Raw genomic sequence first — 17,936 nt, 5'->3', positions numbered from 1 at the left:
TCACCCAGGCTGGAGTGCAGTGGCAGGATCTTGGCCCACTGCAACCTCTGCCTCCCGGGCTCAGGCCACCCTCCCACCTCAGCCTCCCGAGTAGATGGGACTATAGGTACACACCACCATTCCTGGCTAGTGTTTATATTTTTTTGTAGAGATGGGATTTTGTCATGTTGCTCAGGCTGGTCTTGACCTTGTGAGCTTAAGCGACCTGCCCACCTTGGCCTCCCAAAGTGCTGGGATTACAGGCATGAGCTACTGTGCCCAGCCTAAATCTTACCTGTATCTTTATCTTTAGAAGTTCAAAGATTGGCTGTTCAGCACCACTTCAAATTCAGTTTATTAGAAGATTTACTTAGCTCGTAGGAGTTACTCTCTTACCCACTGTTAGAAAAAATAGTAGTCTTCATTCTGTGAGTCTTTATTTTTTTATTTCCACACTTGTCAAACCTGGTGAATCTTCTAAGATTCTAAATAAGAAATCAGTCATTTTAGCTCTTTATTATTGTGTTTACTCTTTGTAACATCAACAATAATAGTAGTTTACATTTGGTTAAATGTTTAAAACTTATAGAGAACCCAAATTCATATTACCTAATTTAATGTCCTCAAAAACCCTTTGAGGTGGAGGCCATCATCATCTTGTTTACAGATAAGGAGATCGAGAGGCACTGAGTGTGGGTGACTTGGTCATCTGATTCTAATTCAAAACTTTATACTGTAGGGGAGGAAAAACTTAATGTTTTCTTCTGCCCCCTAGAGCTATTCTCCACCCAGGACCCTATAAATTGAATGACAAAAGACAGATTAACAAGAGGAAAACAAATAGAAGTTTATTAACGTGTGCATCTGTATCTGCTTTTCAATTGTCTTCAACTCAAAATAATCAATATGAGAAAGAGCATATTTTGGGGGTATGTATTCTGCTACCTGCTTTTCTGTTTTGCCCATCTGCAGATTCTGTTGTTTTCTCCAAGGTTACCAGTGCTCATCCTCTTTTTGTTTTTTCTTTCTACTGCAGTAGTCTTTCGTTCCTGTGTGGCCCAGGTTATTCAGCAGTTCCCTATGACCCAGATTCTCTAGTCTGGAAAACATGTGTCTGTTTTTTTATTGATAGATTAGTATTTCTTAATCATGTGTTAATAGTCTACATTGGCTTCTCATTGCCCTGAGAAGCAACTTCAGGATCCTCTTACCCTCTTCCCACAAACCACTAGTCACTCTTTATTTCTTGTTGTTAATTCTAACATCCTGACAAGGTAAATGAAATGTACTTAAAATATAACTTCTTTAAGGTGGAACCATTTCACTTGTAACATTCTTTTGTCCCATAGCACTCTGCTAAACTACTGTCTTTCAAATATCTTTCTGTTTTGTTTGTTTGTTTGTTTTTGAGACAGTCTCTCTTTGTCGCCTAGGCTGGAGAGCAGCAAACCCTGCCTCCTGGATTTAAGGGATCCTCCCACCTCAGCCTCCGGAGTAGCTGGAAATCCAGCAGCACGCCACCATGCCTGGCTTATTTCCGTATTTTTAGTAGTAATAGGGTTTCACTATATTGGCCAGGCTGGTCTGGAACTCCTGACCTCAAGTGAAATGCCCACCTCGGCCTCCCAAAGTACTGGGATTACAGGCGTGAGCCATCGCGCCCAGCCATCTTTCATATATCTTTCTAAAGCAAAAAAAGCCAAATTCTTCCATCATGGTTTCCTTTGGGACTTCTAGACCTATAGTAAGTCTATTTTAAAAAATTATCTGATACACTTAGCTTTGTGTGTTTATTCTTTTTTCCCAAATTTTGTGTGGCTTATATTAGTTACTATTCATTATTGTTGAGTTATTTTTCAGATTCACTCATACTTGAACTGAATGACTTTGATTATAAATTCTTTGGATATAAAGAGCACTGTCACTTTAAATTATTCTGTGAATAGCAGAAGCCAGTGTTGAGATGATAATGGTGATATTTAATATACTATTTTTCTCTATTAGGCATATCATAGATTTAACAATAATTATTAGATTTGGAGTCTCTGCTAGCTGCAGCCTTTTCCGAAATTCAAGGTATATTTCTGTGTAGCGTATCTTCACAAAACATAAAAACACTAAACTGAAATTAAAACTGATTTGAAAGTATACTAGAGAGGATTGTGAATATCTATGAAAGTACATGACTTTTTTTTTTTTTAATTAAACATTTGTGATCTCTGCCTACTCCATTTCCTAGCACCTTTTATTTTGTTATTCTTCTTTAGGTAAACAGCCATTCAGGAAGATGGTTTGTGCAAAAAGAATGAAAATAAAGGCATGAAGGAAAATGTATGCACTAGCATCTTCTGTCTCTCCCTCTGAGATTTTATGCTCTGCTTCAAAAACCAGTTTAAAAATAAAAAAGATGAGGGCGGTTGCAATCTGCTTCATTTTATGCAGATTAGGTATGGCCCTCGGGTACCTGCCAAATTGCTAATATGGCCTTCCGTTGGGCCTGATTAGTGTGAACCCGGATCTTTTCCATTAAAGCAGAAATGAATTTGTTGGGAATAAGGTAACAACAAAAGTGATATTTTCACTAATAACCGTGGGTCAGGTTACATTAAAGCAGTTTCTCAGTGTGTACCTGAGGCAGACTACCCTCAGCATTTATGATTTCCTCCATCCTCACTTGGCTCCTCTCTGAGGACATCGTGGTTTTTAGAGACCAGTGGGACCGTGACCTCCTTTTATACCGAAGCTACTTTGAGAGGTCATTTTCTTCTACATTCCAAATGCAAAATGTTATTCTCATTTTTGTAAACACATCTGTAGGCCTTACACTTGTAATAACAAGTATCTTAAATTATCCAGAATGAATGTTTATATAAGGATATCCACTCTGGGCAATTGAATTTTTGGATAATTCCAATAGCCATTTTGAGTGCCCCTGGGTGAAGCATTAATTATCTTCCAAAAAGATAATGGAGACAATAAATATGGAACTATCAAGCATCTCTTATGACTCTATTAGAATACATTTTTAAGAAAATATTTTGGTACCAATGATTGTATTTTGTGGGAAAAGAATTAGAGGTTTGTATGAACTAAGCAGCAACTGGAAGTTCAAAAAGACAAATTGGGCCCTATCTGCAGATTTGGGTGCCTAAAGACTTATACAAAGTAAAGTCAGCTTTGTCAGTTGCCTAATTTAGCCCATATTGAAAATCACTGGAGCTTTAGCACGAGCAGTGTTTCATGTGAAGTCATTTTGTAACCCAAATTATTTCTTGCCCATGGAGGAGTAAGAAACACATTTAACAGTTGACATTCTGCATCATCATGGACAGACCAGAGAGAGAAGTAGCTACACCCAAAATACATACGAAAGTCTTTTACGTGGGTTTGCTTCCCATTAAGTGGTTTATGGATGAATAAAATATTTATTTTTAAAGGCCTTATTCTGATTTATTAGAAGCATTATTGAATATACTACCCCAACCCAGTATTTTGTGTCTTCAAGTAATTTGATAGCAAGGGCAAGAATTGCAAAGCTTTTGTTTCCTATTTCTTAATTTTATTTGGCAAAGTACAAATCAGTTAAAGCTAAAATTATCTGTCACATAGATGTGATTGGGGAAGAAATTTATAATCATTTTTGGACTCTTACAGTTCTTAGAACATCATGTTTCAATATTATTATACAAGCATTTTTTTTTGAGTGTCTACTAAGTGTCAGACACCAGGCTAGCTTAGATGAATGAGGTGGTTTCTGGTTGATTATGACCAGTTTTGAGATGTGTCCAAGTGTGCAAGAACCACAAACTGATAAAGAAATGTTCATGGGCATTTTAACTTAACAAAAATTTAACTTACCTTGACTCATACTGGAAACTGTTATCAGAATTTAAAAATTAATGACTTGCCCTTTATTTCTGGTACAAATTAATTTTAATGTAATATTGGGTAACTTGGTCAACTACTTTCTTCTAGTGTAGCAACATAATAATACCATGATAAACTTAAATGCCCAATTTCTTGATGGATTATTATAAGGTGTTTATGATAAAACACGATTGAACCAATTAAAAATGAGTAGAGGTAAACTGGGGCCCACTAAGGTGTCATCAGTATCCAAAGGCTCATCTGTATTCAGAAAATTAGACATGGCGACAGAGTGAGACTCCGTCTCAAAAAAAAAAAGAAAATTAGACATGAAGGAAATCAGTCTTATCCTAGTGAATATTTTCATGCTTTTCTCCCCATGTATTATAGAATGTGTATGTTAATAATGAAAGCAAAACAAAATAAAACAACATGAAATGAGATTAAATGGATCTTTTTTTTTCTCATTTAAGTTAGTGGCCTGAGTGACTAAATATATTTTGATTTGTGATTTTCCTTCCTTTTAGAGGTGGGAAGTTGATGGTGATATATTAGAATCAAAATGAAACACCACTTAAGTTATTTTAAGGATGGTTGAATTAAAAAAAATCCATATGACAGATTAGCTCTTGGGACCCCTTTGCAGGCTTTTGTCTATATTTATTTATTTATTTACTTATTTTAGAGGCAGGGTCTCACTCTGTCAGCCCCCTGAGTAGCTGGGACTGCAGGTACGTGCCACCACGCCTGGCTTTTTATTTTTATTTTTATTTTTGCAGAGACAGGGCTTCTCTTTATGTTGTCCAGCCTGGTTTCCAACTCCTGGGCTCAAGCAATTCTCCCACCTCAGCCTCCCAAAGTGTTGGGATTACAGGCATGAGCCACAGAGCCTGGCCCACAGCCTTTTTTCTAATAGAATGTAATAGAAATCTACAGTATTAGCTCTCATACAGTTCTTGCCATCTTCTTATCTTTCTTACCGGGTTTTATATCTTAAAGCTCTGAATAAAAGTAAATCTTGTCGACATGTGGAGGGTCTTCATATATCAGTGATTCCTAGGGTATTTATTAGTATTTATAATCAGATAATTTTGAGATTTTTGTATCTTGCTCCCAATTTTCAGCATCACTCTTCCTGAGCAAATTAAATTTATTTATTTATGTGGTTTATGCTATGGGCTTCATTGGTCATATACAAATACATCTTTAAGAAGAGGGGATTACTTATTTGTGCAGGTATATAAACTATTCTATTGGGTACTATGCAAATGCAAAATTGATCTGAGAGTATCGTGTCCTAATGATTGTGTTATTGTCTTTCATTAACATAAAAGTGTCCTGGGGAAAGTTACTCTTTAATAATTTTAACATAAAGAACTAATGAATACAATTATATTTATTTAGATAGAGAAGTCCATTAGTAGTCAGTAGGCAGCAGCTTTTGTTATTTTAGGAAGAAGTGCAGTCGGCTGGATGATATTCAGTTTAAAAAAACCTGATTGAGCCATATTTTTTTTTCGGTTGATCTGAAAGCCATTGTTGTTTTGCTCACCAACTGGCAGACCTTCAATTATCCTGAATTTAGAAGTTGTTTACTATACTTTGAAATTTTAAAAATGAGCCCTTCCTGAGAAACAAAAAGCTGGATGCTTGCCATTTTTTTTTAAAGAAAAGTAGAACTTTAATGGCAGAAAAATCAATCAACCAATTCAATGTTGACTTTATTTCCAGTTTTGAAGCCTTAGTGTGTTTTTAAAATGACAGTAATCAAAGCTATCATTATTAATCTCCAAAGTTTTGGGGCATCATTTTGATCTAGAATGTCAGAACTGCAAGGGGCCATGGAGATTATCAGTAAGTCTCTGGGACTGTAGTGGATTCCACAAGATTTGGTTGAGGGTTTCAGCTATTGAGGCTCTTCTCTGTGCCATTATCAGGTGTCTAGAACATCTCTTGGGCTAGTCTTCCTGGATATCCAGGGTACCAAGAGTATGGGCGCTCACTTTTCCATATGTTGGGGGTTGGCAGAATGCTGGGGAAGGGTCTGAGAGCACAAGGTCAACCTGCAAAGAAAGCTGGCACTGCCCACTGGCCACGGCACAGTGACCTTTCATCCCTTCCAGCTTCATTCCCTCCTTCCCTCCTTTTCTTCTTTCCTTATCTGTGAGCCTCTACCATCTGCCAGGCACCGTGTTATCTGTGGAACTTACAGTCTAGTGAAGAATAAAGGTGCCAAATATTTTTAAGTGCAGAGGCTCTCTGGGATCATTTGTAGCAGAGGGTGGGTGGTCCCTGATGCCTTCTCTGATTGCGGACACTCCTACAGATGGCAAAATGGAGGTTCAAAGAGAATAAGTGGCCCCAGTCAGTAAGCTAGGACAAATTTCCTATCCTAGGGTCTTTTGGACTATGTCAGATGACTTGCCGTGTTAGCAGGTGACATTTTAGAAGATCCAAGTTTTTGCTTCTTTAAGTAAAGGCAACTTTCCCTTAAAAACATCCTAAAAAATGTAATGCTTACCTCTTTTATGTTGACTTACAATTCATTAATGCCAACATATGTTTATACAGGACTTTATAATTTTCAGTGCACTTTAACTCATGTTATTTTATTGTAATTACCATCTTGTGAGTCAGGCAGGGGAGTTTGTTTCTTGTTTTAGCTTTTAACTCCCCATTTTATAGAAGAGAAAATAGGGGCCCAGAGAGGGTAAGCGAGTTATCCACAGATGCAGAGCTGCATCCAACAGAGGGCAGATCCAAGATCTGGGATCTCTTGATTGCCAGGCTGCTGCTCTTCAAACAAAAGTGGGTATGTGACATACACACACCCACTGTATTTTAGGCATCCTCATTTTATGGGGCTGTAGCCAGAGTTGTTAGAACAAGTTAAATTGACATGACCTTTGCCTTTTGGTGGTTTATAGTCTAAATATGGTTTAAAAAAAAGCTTCAGGTTTATTAATACACAAGAAACTATTTTTTTTTTTCCTGGGTATTGTCTATTCAGCCTATGCCAAGTCCTTCACACTTAGAAGGAAATAAAACACAGTTACAGTGCACCTTAGCCCTACTTTCCTACTTAAATGTTACAATGTTCCTCTTTCTCTGCAACAGTAATGAGATTTGCCAGTGAATTGAAGGGAAAAAAAAAAGGAATCTGGGAATTTTGATTTTTCTGCTCTTTTGAGGAGAATTAGTGGATTAATCTAGATGCTCCCAGTCCTTGCTTTTTACTGGGCACGCTGGGCAGTGATGTCCAAATCTGGCTTATCACCAGCATCTCCTGGGATCTACCCCTGGAGCTTTTGTTTCAGAGGCCAGGATGAGGCCCGTGACTGCTCTACAGATGAACTTGGAACCCATTTACTTAATCTGACCACTCCAAACACCATAGTTCTTAGTAATCTGCAAATTCCTGGGAATGGAGAGAAAAACAACCCATTTGTGATCTCTTCTACCCTCCAGATTATCTCTAACTGTGTGGTCCAGCTGCCACAGGATAACTAGACATGCAAGGGGAATAGCCTCTAACTCTACCACAGTTCCATTGCCCATTAATTTATATGGCATTTTTTCTGACATTGCTGAATATTTTTTGGGGCTCAAATAGGCCATTGTCATTATTTATCACCATGTATGTTGTGACTGTAAGTCTACTTTTGATTCAATTAGAGAAACATTTGCTTACCGAGAGAACACCTCCTGTGTATTGGACTCTTGGCTTCTTTTTTGGCCATTAAAATGGTAGCGGAATATTTTAAAATTTGGTTTACAGCCTTTAAATATGACATTTCCAAAAAATGTAAATCAAGGAACTGTCAGAATATCTTTAAATGTAAAACATCTGAAGCTGTGTGCATTAGGTTTAATAACATATATATGAAAATGTCCCTGATGTGTATATGAACACTGAAAGTAAAATATATTAAAATACTCGTTTTTTGTTTTTTGTTTTTTTTTTTTTTTTTTTTGAGACGGAGTCTTGCTCTGTCGCCCAGGCTGGAGTGCAGTGGCGCAATCTCTGGTCACTGCAACCTCTGCCTCCCGGGTTCACGCCATTCTCCTGCCTCAGCCTCCCAAGTAGCTGGGACTACAGGCGCCCACCACCACACCTGGCTAATTTTTTGTATTTTTAGTAGAGATGAGGTTTCAGCGTGTTCTCGATCTCTGTCCCTTGTGATCCACCCGCCTCGGCCTCCCTAAGTGCTGGGATTACAGGCGTGAGCCACCGCGCCCGGCCTAAAATATTCTAAAGGGAACAAAAACAAAAACCCAAAATCTTCAAACCAAAAGCAGTTGCCACTTCTACCAGTTATAGCCGTAGTTGCTTCTGTGTATTGTAGTTTCTTAGTGAATTACTGTGAAATCAGGTTAGTTGGAACATGAATAAAAATGTACAACATAAATGAATATACGTTTGCCTTCATATTATTAATATATGGTGACGTTTTCTTTGATAATCTACATGCCATCATAATATTGCCCCTAAGATTAGGTATTATGTAACCGTAAACTGTAGGAAACACAATATGCCTGGAGGACAATTCTAGAATATATAACTGGGAGCATGCAATTGATAGAGAGTTTCCAGGGATATTGAACCTAGACATGGAGTACCTGGAAAGCCAGGTCCTCAGGAAAACCTATTGCAACATTTGAAAAGAATACACATAATTAATGAGGATGTGAAAGATGTGAGGCAACTGTATTCTTAGACCTTCAGTGGATACCTCATCGTAGAGGATGCAGAAACACTGGCTAAACATAAGTTATGAATAGCATCTGCTAGAATGTAGCAAAGTATGTTTAAAAGAGTATACTCTTTCGCTTGTGTCTTTGATTATTGAAGATATTTTAGGGGGACAAATGCTAGGGGGAAATCTCTTTATGCAAATGTATTTCCGAATAGAAAGGAGGAAAAAAGAAGCTTCTTTGCATTACCTGCCACCATGAGTTTTTTAATTTAAAACTCTTTTAGAAAATGATTAAACTTAGAACAACAATAAGAAAATATGTACTGGATGAAATGGTTTTTAACCAGTGACAGAAGTTTAGAACCAACCCCAAATAATTTCTCATCACACTTTTCTTTCTCATTTGTCTTATTCCTCCATGTAATAGTTTTAAATGGCACTTTTATGAAATAAATAACTAAACACCAACCACATTTTTTTTCATATCCTGACCAATATTTTGGCTGTTTTACAGAAGAACTGGAATTCTGAAAATTAAATAAAGATTTCTGAAATGCTAACTTCAGAAAGTTTTATTTAATTTGTGGAATAATTTTGTTCTCTCCCTCTCCATTTTTTTTTCAATAAGGTCTTTATTAATTTAGTCTAGTTACTTAGTGCTTATATTAAATAATCTAATAAAAGTCAGGGTTGTAACATAACATTTCCCAAATGTGAAGCAGCATCTATTACATTAGACAAAATCTTTATGCCGCAAAATTGTAAAAGCCATGTATAGAATTACAAGGCACCAAATGGTACTGTATATATTTCTAAAATAGAATGTTTCTGTAGTGTAAGGGGGTAGTCAGCTTAAAAAAAAAGTGTGACAGACAGCTGTATCACTATAGTTTATTCAGAAAGTACTCTAAAATTAATTTTAATTTTTAAATAATAATCTTCTTGATAATTTCCTCTGAAAGATAGAAATATGATTTAAATATACAGGTTAGTATTTTTAAAGGTAAAACCTACTTTGTTTGTGTTTGTCAGTGTTACCGAATTCTTGCAAACAGAGAAGTTATCTGTGGGGATGGGAAACAGTGCATTGTGTGTGTGTGTGCTCACACACTTGCATCTCTTGATTTTTAGATAAATTCATATGACAGTATATGTTCAGTGTTTATTTTGAATCATTGAATTATTTATTTTTGTTTGGCATTTCCTTTTGTATTGTCATAAATGCAGGATTAAATCCATTGTAGGCTCCCAGACAAGTATGTTGTGAGGTTTCATTAATTTGTGTAAGTTATAAAGGCACTTGAATAATGTAAGATGACTCAAAAATGCTGTTTCATTTTCCACTTACTTTTACCCCAATGCAAGCCAGTTGAAATATATATAGAGAGAGTCCTTAAAATCAAAGCAGAAGGTGTAGAAGAGTTAGGTTTATTCCAACAAGTTGTACTGGGGCACTGCTAAACTATGCATTAAAAAGGAAAATATGTATACTTCAAAAACCATTTTTGTTTCACCTTTTTTTCTTTTTCCTCATTGAAAAGTCATTCCCACCACAGCTTTAGCAATAATAACTACAATTTATGTCTTTTTGCTGCTACAATTTGATGATATACCACAGTCAGGCCACAGGTTAGAAACACAGGCTGAATTATTATATACTGCTGGGTAGTGATTTCCTGTGAACTGATTTATGGATAAATAATTCTATGTTCTTATTATATAGGATAGACAGTTTTTAATTTCTTTAACAAAGCATAGCTGAACAACAGAAAATTATATGCTATAGCATATGAACACAACCACTCTGAGGAAGATAAACAGATGCAATCAATGTCATGAGTTCTCCTATTTTTACAAGGAGCCTCATCAGCAGTTGGTATTGTGGAAATAATACCGAGAACCAGAAGCCCCAAGGCTTAGTTCTTCTAAGGCTGGGGTTTTTATTGACACTCTTTTGTGGAGATCTTTTCCAGGGAGTTATGAGATATACAAACCCCAGCCTTTGGATATTAAAGCTAATGTCTCATTTTTTTTTCTCAGGTTGAGTTTTCATTTTGCTTTAAAAATTAATGTTAAAATGCACCTGGAATAAAAGAAAATTATCCATCCAGCTGAATTATAAGAATACTGCTGGATATCTTGCTGGGTTGCTTATATCTGTTTCACAGATTGAACTGTAGGCTTTATTGTGCAGTATACCCAATATATATCTATTTTATCAGCATCTATCTACATGCCACTGCAAACTGTGAGAACTGTTCTCATGTACTTCACAGGCAGCCTGTTGTAGGCCTTCATGAAGTAAATATTTCTCATATTTAAGGTACAGGGGTAAAAGCTATCATCTTGGCTTATTTTAGGAATGGTTTCACTTAGCTATGTGTTTAGCAATAATAAGCTTCTCTGCTCAATTGTGAGCTCCATAATTACAGGGACAGTATATATTGAGGTTATCTTTGCATCTTAGTGACTTATGTTGGAGGGACACAAGAAAAAAGTTGTTGAATGAATGCTTCATGCTTAATACAAACACTTCTAATGGCTCATTGATTATAATGTATTATCACATTTTATTTTATCCTCAGACATGATTGACTTTCTAAAGGCTTGAATCAAATATTGATCGACTATAATGTGTATTATCACCACTCTTTTGTTTTTATATAATTAGAGGCAAATGATACTAAAAATATGAATTATGCATTTACTGAGAATAGTAACTGTTTTCTTTGAGATAAATACCAAAAACATGAACACAAACAACTATTGATATTTCTTTTGGTGAAATGTCAGCTCTTTAACTCTGGCAGAATACTGCATTGAGAAAATAAAAAACTGGTTTCCATTATTGCATCTTTTTAATTTTAGACAAAAATTGCCTCCATTCCCAATCTAATTTTATATCACTAATGGGAAATTTACCTACAATTGCATTTTGTTATTTGGTCTGTACACATTACACATTGAGTAGATTGGTACTCTATATTTTAGTGAACAGATTTGTCTGGATATAGACGGTTTTATTCATACTGTGCTCAATTCAATCATGTTAACATTTGTATGAATTTCAACCCCAAAATAAAGGCCCATAATTTGTGACTCAAAGACCTTATAACAGCATCTGTAATAGTCTTCAACACCAAGCATTTTCTAAATGTTTGCAGATGACAAATTCCTTGTAAATAATAAAGATGATTGGAAAACAATGTTTATGTCTGAAATGGCACTGTTGTGGGAAACTGTTTTTTCCAGAGAAGTCCCAAGTTTAACTGGCTCTTCAGACTTCTGGGACTGTGATGTCACCTGTTTGCTCATTGGTCTCATTTATTCCTTGGTTTAACATTAAATGTCCAGACACTGCCTGATGTGTGACTGTGGACGTGCTCTGGCCCTCCTCTCCAGGGGCCCATTTGTGTGGTTGGGCGCTTGGACGTGGGTACATCCTCAGGGCATCGGTAGCAGAGCTGAGCAGAAAGGATATTGGCCCAGTAGTTCAAAAACTTGCAAAATGAAGCCTAGGTTTTATTCCTGGTTTTCATCCACTTATGTCCTTGAAAAGTCATTCTTTGATCTTCAGCTTACTTCCAGGTAGAATGCTGAGTCCAGGCTGTTTTCATAAGGATAAACTAATGGTTGTATAAAACACTGTGCAAACTGTAAAGTAACATAAAGGGATATTGTGAATAAGTAGGTTTTTTATAAGGTATACAAACCAACCAAGAATATTTATTGTACCGTGTTATAGAGAAAGGATTACTTCAGGTGGGTTATCTGGGTTGGAATTATTCCCATGGCAGAATTTCAGCAATAATATAGACAGTTTCTAGAAGTGAATATTGGGGATCAGTACTCTAGACAGAGTGAGAGTGTGATAAATTTTCAGAGAAAAAATGGAAATTGCCATGCATTTAGCATCTACTATGTTCCTGGCTGAACTCAAAGGTGTGTGTGTGTGTGTGTGTGTGTGTGTGTGTGTGTGTGTGTGTGTGTGTGCGCGCGCGCGCGCGCGCGCGCTTGCGCACGTGTATGAAATATTTCCTAATTTAATCATCACTAGTTTTTCTCATTTTTCAAATTGGGGTTACAAAACTTATAGAATGTGAATGTTGGGAATAACATCTGTATACTTAAGTTATGCCATCATTATTGACATTTCTCTAGTGCTGCAATATTATCCTCAATGGCCACATAACTTGTTCTTGCTTCTTTGTCCTTGTTCACTACACTGGAGTGATTGGTGTGGTCTGCATCCCTCCTTAGAAGCCAGGAAGAGGCTGTTGTAATTGTAACTAGACATACCTACCTGAATTATTTCGGTTCTTTTTTCTCCCCTTGGAATGAGCGCTGTTTTTAATCCACCTGCAGTCCAGTACCGGTTGAGCATCTCAAATCTGAAAATCTGAAATCTGAAATGTTCCAAAATCTGAGATCTTTTGAGTGTCAACATGGTGCTCAAAGGAAATGCTCATTCGAGCATTTCAGATTTTGAATTTTTGGATTTGGGATGCCTACCTGGTAGGTATAATGCAACTATCTCAAAATCTGAAAAAATCAGAAATATGAATTGCTTCTGGTTCTCCAAGGATTTTGGATAAGGAATACTCAACTTGTATAAATTAATCTCTGGAAGTTTTGCTTTATTGTTGTTATGTGTACACTAAGAAACTTACAAGGATCTATTGTCCCTTAAGTTTTATGGAGCACTTATGTAGCAGTCCCAGTGCTAGAGTCTCCTTTTCATGTAAAGTCTCATGATAACCCTAAAGGGTAGGCATTGTTCGTATCCCCATTTTACAGATATGGAAATGGACACATGGAAAGACTAAACAATTTGCCCAAAGTCTCACAGGTGACAAGCAGAGGAGGCTGGGTGTAAACTCATCTTTGACTCCAGACCTTACTCCTAACCTTTGACCTATACAGTGTGCTACTGAGTCAGGCATTCACGGCCTCCCAAAACTTGGAACCAGTCTTTTCTTCTAGTTTGCCTCTCACTTGAGCCAGTGTGATAACAAGAAGAGTGAGAGCCTGGTCTTTGAAGTGAATCTGAGCTCTGCTACTTGCTAGTAATATTACCTAGGCTACTTAAGATAACCCATCCCTTCTGAATCTCCATTTCCTCATGGAGGGAGTTGACACTAGATATTCAGGGGTAAAGAACTGATGGAGAAATTGGAGGTACACCTATACTAGATTTGGTGGTGCAGAAAATAAGAGACTGAGGGAACAGAGAGATTGTCATAGTGTTTTTGTTTGTTTTAAAGTAGGGGAGGGCTAGGTGCAGTGGCTCATGCCTGTAATCTCAGCACTTTGGAAGGCTGAGGTGGGCAGATAGATCGCTTGAGCCCAGGAGTTGGAGACCAGCCTGGCCAACATGGTGAAACCCTGTCTCTATAAAAATACAAAACTTAGCCAGGTGTGGTGGCATATACCTGTAGTCCCAACTACTTGGGAGGCTGATGTGGGAGGCTAGCTTGAGCCTGGGAGGCAGAGGTTGCAGTGAGCTGAGATCTCACCAGTACACTTCAGCTTGGGTGACAGAGCCAGACCCTGTGTCAGAAACAAACAAACAAACAAACAAAAAAGTAGGGGAGATCTGAATCTACTTACAGGTCAAAGGAAAGACGCCACTGAGGAGCAAGGATGGAAGAAATGAATGGGGAAGTGGTGGGAATAGAAGATGGGACACATTGATGTATACTCCTCCTTTGTGATTTAAAACAAAAGTCTTTTATAGACACATGACTGAAAGCTAATATAATCATCAAAAATCTTTTGAGTCAATGTATTTTGAAATAAACTGACTATATCTTCTCTTTAAGACACATTAAAAAGGTCAAAAGAATGACTAAATTTTTGAGATTAAATTATATTCATGCTCTTTAATAATTTTTACATTTAATCTGCACAGTATTCTTGTAAGATCAGTACTTTTATTGTTCCAGTTTACAGATGAGAGGATTGAGGTATGGAGAATTTTAAGTAACTTGGTAGGGTTACATAATTAGTAGGTGACAGAGCCAGGATGTGAACAGAGGCAATTTAACTTGGAAGCCTGCATTCTTAGTCACTATGGTATACTGCTTCCCAATTTGATTTCCTCAATTAACACTTGACTACTATTCCAAGTAATATTTTTGTCTATTTTATATCAGGGAAGGAGGACTGTTCTAAAGAATGTATTTGCAAAGAGGATTAACACAGTACGTTAGACAGAGACCCTGTTTGGAGGAAAGGCTCATTAAGAGTTACTCCAAGCCTCTACCTGGCTGGAGTAGAGTGGGCTTCTGGCCATAGCTCTCCTAGCAGATCTTGTACCTGCAGACCCTGGTAAATAGCTGTGCAGAGACCATGACTTCTAGGACTGTGCAAGTTAGTTAATAAGGTGCAAAAAAGGAAAAGCACACACTTCCCATTGCCTGGGAAAATAGCATGTGCCAACAGCTCTCTTCCAAGATATAGAAACCAAACTGTAGCAGCTGCTCTATGTGGAGGTATTAAGTGTTGTTAAAACACCTGTGTGTGTCTAATTCCAGCCCAAACAAGTCTTCTTCCGGCTCATCAAGGTGGGGTAAGAATTTACCTATATGGAGATTCTATTTCCAGTAGAATGAGTTGTCTATTATTTCCTGTAGAGATTTCTCTCCCTCCCCTCTCTAAAAAATTGAGGTATAATTTACATACAAAAATGTATGCATATTAAGTGATCAGTTTGATAAATTTTGACAATTTGTATAACCATGCAACCACCATGCCAAACAAGAAAATCCCCATATGTCCCTGCCTATGTAATGCCCCTTTCTGTCCCTCTGACTTCTATCCCCATTAGATTAGTCTTGCCTGTTCTTGTATTTCATATAAATGAAATCATACAGATATATTCTGTTGTGTCTGGCTGTAGTGTGGTGTATTCTTACAATGGAATGCTTCTTTACAATAAAAAGGAATCAACTACTGACACCACAACAGCTTGAATGAATCTCTTGTAGAGTTGTGCGTTGAAGCTTGTAGGGTCCTTTTTTTTATATTACTTGCTTAGTCTTAGTAACCAAAATGACCCACAAAATCTGCTTCTTTTACTTGCCTATCATAGTGCACAACTGTCAACTTCATTCCCCCCCATTCTGTCATATATTATCTGTGTGACTTTAGAACACAGCCAATTTATATTCAACTTATGGGTGATCATGGTAATGACTTTTGAAAGGAATTTAAAATTGTAGAATGATTTTTTAAAAAGGAAATATGTTAGACATGTTACATGGTTTCTTTTTAGTATTTGCAAATGTCAGGAGTAAAAGAAGCAAGGAAGCAGACCCACTCTCTCGTGGGTGGCTGTCCAGTGGGCCCTGGATGTTCATTTCATGACTACTACATGCTGTGTGCTGTGCACTTTTCATTGTCATGAGAGAGAATGTTAAGAAAACTATCCCCGCAAGAAAACAGCTTTTCTTGGCAAGTGAAATATGACTTAAGGAGCCAGAACTGGAGACATACGGTACTATGAATGAGAGCTGTGTTACTTTATTGGATCTGAGTCCAGGCACTATTTATACTGCAGCATATTCAGCACCAGATTGTTAAATCTTAATACTGAAACAGTGTATCATTTTAATATTTTTGTTCTGTTTATTCCCTGTTTTCAAGCATTATGTCAAGCATTGCGCATTCATTTATTTCATCTTGGACAGGACGTGCCCTGACCAGAAAGTCCATTTCCTATTGCTGGAATTTTGCCCCATAGCTGTCATTTTGTGAGGCTCTTAAAAGTTCACTTGGGTGCACAGGTGTTTTCTCTCTTTGATGATAATATATTTTTTTAAAGAACAGTGTAGTTGGACTCACCTGTATTGTCAAAAATAAAAATGCTGTTTTTCTTTTATCACTAAAGCATCACTGCTTTTTATGTGTGGCAATTTCTGACATCCTGGAGACATGGGATTTTTCATCGCCTACAAATAAAATTTTTGTTACCCTGTGTCATATGTGAAATGGGTTTCTCTATTTTTCTTCATCAATGTTACGTGTGCCCTGTGTACCAGATAAAATGGGCCTATCTTATGAATAAGTTAGCATTTTCACCATATGTTGCTGAAACCATCCCATGAATCTTCCTCTAACAAGGGTATTCCTAAAATTGCTGTTCTACGTAGCCCAAGCTTAAAAAGGATTTTTATTATTTTTTCATTGTTATGCATGTTTACCATATGCAGCAGGAAATCCACAGGGAAAAAGTACTATTGTCACTGTCAAAAGAGCTGAGGAATAAAAAAAAGAAAGGAACTTGAGGGCATCTTTGCTATTTCTGATCTGTGGTCAATCACCGTGGTATTGCATTTGGCCTGGGAAAGCAACCCCACTGCCTGCTGAAACGCAGATATGGGAGCGAACTCTAACTGCTTCATGAGCTCCAAATGCTGTTCGCACTGGGAATCGCACCACAGTCAGGATGTAACTGCGTGCTGAGCCCACACACAGGAATTTTCTTGTACAATTCAAAACTGAATCTTATATTTACTTAAGGCTTACTTTTTTTTTTGTCTATGAAATCAGCAGTCCTGTATATTTAGCATCAGCCTTAAGTTAGAATGTGAAACAATTCTGGGGGGAAGGAAGTATCCGTATGGTTTTCTAAGTAATTTAAGAAACAGGAAAACATAAAAGAACTGATTGTCTGTGATTAAACCTCATTCTTTCCTTCCCATCTTCCTGTATAGTTAACTAACTCAATTGTCGGCCAGAAAGAAATAGCTTATTGCACTGGGTTGTAAAATATCTGAGTGGGCCTTGGATGTTGATGATTGAATGACCTTCTTAACATTGAACAAACAATGGGAAGGTTTAATAAATAGCAGATATGTGTTTATTATGTTTTTCTTCCCTGTGCAGGAATAATCAAGCTGGGAAGGTGGAACCCTCTCCCCCTCAGTTATGTGACAGATGCACCCGACGCGACAGTGGCCGACATGCTACAAGATGTCTATCATGTTGTGACGTTGAAAATCCAATTACAAAGGTGGGTGTTTCTGAACATCTGCTTTTCCTTACTGTCAGAGCTGCTCCGTCAATCATAGATTCACTGCAAAGATCAGCATGTCCTGTCTATTAATTTCTGGACATTGGACAAAATGAAAAGAAGGAGAGAGAGGGAAAGAAGGAGAGAAGGAGAAGGGTGGCCCTTCCCCAGGTGTCTTTATAGTCACATTCCAACTACTTTATGCTTTGTTTTCAGAAGCAGTGAAGTGGTAACCTAGGGGCGGCTTGACAAATCATTAAAAATCTATAGCCCTTAGGAGTAGCTTTACACAGCCCCTTATTCAATGGGTCCTCTAGGCCTGCTTAAATGTGTAGCACATAGTATTTGAAGAATAAACACCTCTGCTGTTTTCACAT

At 37.3% G+C, this 17,936-nt stretch overlaps 1 protein-coding gene across 6 annotated transcripts in view; it reads left to right on the top strand.

Annotated features, from left to right (window-relative positions):
- SATB2 (SATB homeobox 2) overlaps positions 1-17,936 on the top strand; it is a 201,767-nt gene that overhangs the window by 72,014 nt on the left and 111,817 nt on the right. For 5 of the 6 annotated variants that reach the window (NM_001172517.1, XM_005246396.4, XM_047443775.1 and 2 more), the window contains one exon: positions 17,433-17,559. In NM_001172517.1, the coding sequence (NP_001165988.1) occupies positions 17,433-17,559 (127 nt within the window). Of the gene's footprint in view, positions 1-1,412; positions 1,724-2,246; positions 3,423-17,432; positions 17,560-17,936 lie in introns of those variants that run through there. The other variant, NR_134967.2, reaches the window with a different exon arrangement.

Source organism: Homo sapiens, chromosome 2 (assembly GCF_000001405.40).
Source record: "Homo sapiens chromosome 2, GRCh38.p14 Primary Assembly".
Classification (NCBI taxonomy): Eukaryota; Metazoa; Chordata; class Mammalia; order Primates; family Hominidae; genus Homo; species Homo sapiens.
This window is presented reverse-complemented; position numbering and strand designations above follow the sequence as displayed.